The sequence below is a fragment of the Homo sapiens genome, chromosome 20 (genome assembly GCF_000001405.40).
Source record: "Homo sapiens chromosome 20, GRCh38.p14 Primary Assembly".
Lineage (NCBI taxonomy): Eukaryota > Metazoa > Chordata > Mammalia > Primates > Hominidae > Homo > Homo sapiens.
This window is the reverse complement of record NC_000020.11, coordinates 29884851-29890415: the sequence shown is the minus strand read 5'-3', so window position 1 is coordinate 29890415 and position 5565 is coordinate 29884851. Positions and strand designations below refer to the sequence as shown.

Genomic DNA, 5565 nt, shown 5'->3' with positions numbered 1-5565 from the left:
ATGTGAAGATATTTCCTTTTCCACCATAGTTCTCAACGCGCTCCAAATGTCCACTTGCAGATTCTACAAAAAGAGGGTTTAAAAGCTGCTCAATCAAAAGGAAGCTTCAACCCTGTGAGATGAAGGCACACATCACAAAGAAGTTTGTCAGAATGCTTCTGTCTAGTTTTTATGTGAAGGTATTTCCTTTCCACAATAGGCCTCAAAGCGCTCCAAGAGTCCACTTGCCTATACTAGAAAAGGAGTGTTTCAAAACTGCCCAATGAAAAGTAAGGTTCAACTCTGTGAGATAAATGCACACATCATAAAGAAGTTTGTCAGAATGCTTCTGTCTAGTTATTATGGGAAGATATTTCCTTTTCCACCATAGGCCTCAATGCACTCCAAATGTCCAATTGCAGACTGTACAAAAAGAGTATTTCATAGGTGCTCAAACAAAAAAAGGTTCAACTCTGTGAGATGAATGCACACATCACAAAGAAGTTTGTTAGAATCCTTCTGTCTAGTTTTTATGTGAAGATATTTCCTTTTCCACCGTAGGCCTCAAAGCACTCCAAATGTCCACTTGCAGATTCTACAAAAAGAGTATTTCAAAGCTGCTCAATCAAAAGAAAGGTTCAACTCTGTGAGATGAATGCACACATCACAAAGAAGTTTGTCAGAATGCTTCTGTCTAGTTTTCATGTGAAGACATTTCCTTTTCCGCGATAGGCCTCATAGCGCTCCAAATGTCCTATTGCAGATTCTACAAAAAGAGTGTTTCAAAACTGCTGAATGAAAAGTGAGGTTCAACTCTGTGAGATGAATGCACACATCACAAAGTATTTTCTCAGAATGATTCTGTCTAGTTTTCATGTGAAGACATTTTCTTTTCTGCGATAGGCCTCATAGCGCTCCAAATGTCCACTTGCAGATTCAACAAAAAGAGTGTTCCAAAACTGCTCAATGAAAAGTGAGGTTCAACTCTGTGAGATGAATGCAGACATCACAAAGAAGTTTGTCAGAATGCTTCTGTCTAGTTTTCATGTGAAGACATTTCCTTTTCCGCGATAGGCCTCATAGCGCTCCAAATGTCCACTTGCAGATTCTATAAAAAGGGTGTTTCAAAACTGGACAGAAACATTCTGACAAACTTCTTTGTGATATGTGCCTTCATCTTACCGTGTTGAACATTTCTTTTGATTGAGCAGTTTTAAAACACTCTTTTTGTAGAATCTACAAGTGGACATTTGGAGCGCTTTGAGGCTTATGGTGGAAAAGGAAATATCTTCACATAAAAACTAAACAGAAGCATTCTGACAAACTTCTTTGTGACATGTGCAATCATCTCACAGAGTTAAAACTTTCTTTTGATTGAGAAGCTTTGAAACACGCTTTTTGTAGAATCTGCAAGTTGACATTTGGAGCGTTTTGAGGCCTATGGTGGATAACGAAATATTTTCATGTAAAAAGTAGACAGAAGCATTCTTAGGAACTACATTGTTATGTGTGAATTCATCTTACAGAGTTGAACCTTTCTTTTGATTGAGCAGTTTTGAAACACTATTTTTGTAGAATCTGCAAGTGGATATTTGGTGTGCTTTGAGCCCTATGGTGGAAAAGGAAGTATCTTCACATAAATCTAGACAGAAGCATTCTGAGAAACTTCTTTGTGGTGTCTGCCTGACACACAGAGTTGAACCTTCCTTTTGGTTGAAAAGTTTCGATACAGTCTTTTTGTAGAATCTGCAAGTGGGTATTTGGAGAGCTTTGCGTCCACCAGTGGAAAAGGAAATATCTTCACATAAAAACTATACAGAAGCATTCTGAGAAACTTCTTTGTGATGTGTGCATTCATCTCACAGAGGTGAACATTTCTTTTAAATGAACAGTTTTGAGACACTCTTTTTGTACAATCTGCAAGTGGATATTTGGAGTGCTTAAGGCCTATGGTGGAAAAGGAAATATTTTCACATAAAAACTAGACAGAAGCATTTTGAGAAACTTCTTTGTGATGTGTGTATTCAACTAACAAAGTTGAACCTTTCTTTTGATAGAGCAGCTTTGAGACACTCTTTTTGTATAATCTGCAAGTGGATATTTGGAGCGCTACGTGGCCTATGGTGGAAAAGGAAATATCTTAACATAAAAACTAGACAGAAACATTCTGAGAAAGTTCCTTGTGATGCATGCTTTCAACTCACAGGCTTGAGCCTCTTTTGATTTAGCAGTTTTCAAACACTCTTTTTGTAGAATCTGCAAGTGGAGATTTGGAGTGACTTGAGGCCTATGGTGGAATAGGAAATATCTTTACACAAAAACTAGACAGTAGCATTCTGCGAAACTTCTTAGGGATATGTGTGTTCATTTCACAGAGTTGAACCTTTGTTTTGATTGAGCAGTTTAGAAAAACTCTTTTTGTAAAATCTGCAATATTTGAAGCATTTTGAGGTGTATGGTGGAAAAGGAAATATCTTCACATAAAAACTAGACAGAAGAATTCTGAGAAACTTCTTTGTGATGTGTGCATTCATCTCACAGAATTGAACCTTTCTTTTGATTGAGCAGTTTTGAAACACTCTTTTTGTAGAATCTGCTTTGGATATTTGGAGCGCTTTGGGGCCTATGGTGGAAAAGAAAATATCTTCACATAAAAACTAGACAGAAGCATTCTGAGAATCTTCTTTGTGATGTGTGCATTCAACTCACAGAGTTGAACTTTTCTTCTGATTGAGCAGTTTTTAAACACTCTTTTTGTACAATCTGCATGTGGATATTTGGTTCGCTTTGGGGTCTATGGTGGAAAAGGAAATATCTTCACATAAAAACTAGACAGACGCATTCTGAGAAACTTCCTTGTGATGTGTGCATTCACCTCACAGAACTGAAAAGTTCTTTTGATTGAGCAGTTTTGAAACACACCTTTTGTAAAATCTGCAAGTGTATATTTAGAGTGCTTTGCAGCCTACGGTGGAAAAGGAAATATCTTCATATAAAAACTAGACAGAAGCATTCTGAGAGAAAATTATTTGTAATGTGTGCATTCAACTCACAGAGTTGAAACTTTCTTTTGATGGAGCATTTTTGAAACACTCATTTTGTGGAATCTGCAAGTGGATATTTGGAATGCTTTTCAGCTTAGGGTGGAAAAGGAAAAATCTTCATATAAAAAGTAGGCAGAAGCATTCTGAGAAACTTATTTGTGATGTGTGCAGTCAACTCACACAGTTGAACATTTCTTTTCATTGAGCATTTTGGAAACACTCTTTTTGTAGAATCTGCAAGTGGATATTTGGAGTGCTACATTGCATGTGGTGGAAAAGGAAATACCTTCACATAAAAACTAGACAGAAGCGTTCTGAGAAACGTCTTTGTGGTGCATGCTTTCAACTCACAGGCTTGAGCCTCTTTTGATTTCGCATTTTTCAAACACTCTTTTTGTAGAATCTGCAAATGGAGATTTGGAGAGATTTGAGACCTATGGTGGAATAGGAAATATCTTCACAGAAAAACTAGACAGTAGCATTGTGAGAAACACCTTTCTGATATGTGCATTCATTTCACAGAGTTGAACATTTCTTTTCAGTGAGCAGTTGTGAAACACTCTTTTTGCAGAATCTGCATGTGGGTATTTGGAGCGCTTTGCACCCTATGGTGGAAAAGGAAGATTCTTCACATAAAAGCTAGACAGAAGCATCTGAGGAACTTCTTTGTGATATGTCCATTCATCTTACAGAGTTGAAGCTTTCTTTCAATTCAGCAGTTTTGAAACAATCTTTTTGTAGAATCTGCAAGTGGATAATTGGGACGCTTTGGGGCCTATGTTGGAAAAGGAAATATCTTCATATAAAAACTAGATAGAAGCATTCTTAGAAACTTCTTTGTGAGGTGTACATTCATCTCACAGAGTGGAACCTTTCTTTTGATTGAGCAGTTTAGAAATACTCTTTTTGTAGAACCTGCAATAGGTAATTGGAGCACTTTGAGGCGTATGGTGGAAAAGGAAATATCTTAAAATAAAAACTAGACAGAAGCATTCTGGGAAACTTCTTTGTGATGCGTGCATTCATCTCACAGAGTTGAACCTTTCTTTTGAATGAGCAGTTTTGAAACACTCTTTTTGTCGAATCTGCTTTGGATATTTGGAGCACTTTGGGGCCTATGGTGAAAAAGGAAATATCTTCACATAAAAACTACACAGAAGAATTTTGAGAATCTTCTTTGTGAGGTGTGTGTTCATCACACAGAGTTGAACTTTTCTTTTGATTGAGCAGTTTGGAAACACTCTTTTTGTGGTATCTGAAAGTGGATATTTGGAGCGCTTTGTGGCCTATGGTGGAAAAGGAAATATCTTCATATAAAAACTAGACAGAGGCATTCTGAGAAGCTGTTTTCTGATGTGGGCATTCATCCCACAGAGTTGAACTTTTCTTTTGATTGAGAAGTATTGAAACTCTTTTTTTGTAGAATTTGCAAGTGGATACTTGGAGGGCTTTGAGGCCTATGGTGGAAAAGGAAATATCTTCACATAAAAACTAGAAAGAAGCATTCTGAGAAATTTCCTTGTGATGTGTGCATTCAAATGACAGAGTTGAACTATTCTTTTGATTGAGCAGTGTGGAGACAGTCTTTTGGTAGTATCTGAAAATGGATATTAGGAGTGCTTTGAGTCCTATAGAGTAGAAGGAAATATCTTCATATAAAAACTAATCAGAAGCATTCTGAGAAACTTCTTTGTGATGGGTGCATTCATCACACAGAGTTGAACCTTTCTTTTGATTGAGCATTTTTGAAAAACTCTTTTTGTATAATCTGCAAGTGCATATTTGCAGCACTTTGAGGCCCTTGGTGGAAAAGGAAATATCTTCACATAAAAACTAGACAGATCATTCTGAGAAACTTCTTTGTGATGTGTGCGTTCATCTCACAGAGTTGTACATTTCTTTTGATGGAGCAGTTTTGAAACACTCTCTTTGTAGAACCTGCAAGAGGATATTTGGAGCGCTTTGTGGCCTATGGTGGAAAAGGAAATATCTTCCCATAAAAACCAGACAGAAGCATTCTGAGAAACTTCTTTGTGATGTGTGCATTCATTACACAAAGGTGAAACTTTCTTTTGATTGAGCAGTTTGCAACACTACTTTTCTAGAGTCTGGTATTGGATATTTGGAGCGATTTGCAGCCTATGGTGTAAAAGAAAATATCTTCACATAAAAAGTAGATAGAAGCATTCTGAGAAACATCTTTGTGATGTGTGCATTCATCCCACAGTGTTTAACCTATCTTTTGATTGAGCAGTTTGGAAACCTTCTTTTGGAGAATCTGTAAATGGATATTTGAAGGGTTTTGAGGACTATGGTGGAAAAGGAAATATCTTTACATAAAAACTAGGCAGAAGCATTCTGTGAAACTTCCTTGTAATGTACGCATTCATCGCACAAAGTTGAACCTTTGTTTTAATTGAGCAGTTAAGAAACACTCTTTTTGTAGAATCTGCAAGTGGATATTTGGCATGATTTGCAGCCTATGGCTTAAAAGGCAATACCTTCATATAAAAACTAGACAGAAGTATTCTGGGAAACTTCT

The 5565-nt window shown here is 36.9% G+C and overlaps 1 annotated feature.

Moving 5' to 3' along the window:
• Positions 1-5565: part of a centromere (Linear centromere model derived predominantly from reads generated in PMID: 17803354. This region does not represent an actual centromere sequence, as long-range ordering of repeats and unmapped WGS contigs is not provided by the model. For details of model production, see http://arxiv.org/abs/1307.0035.) that runs on past both edges of the window.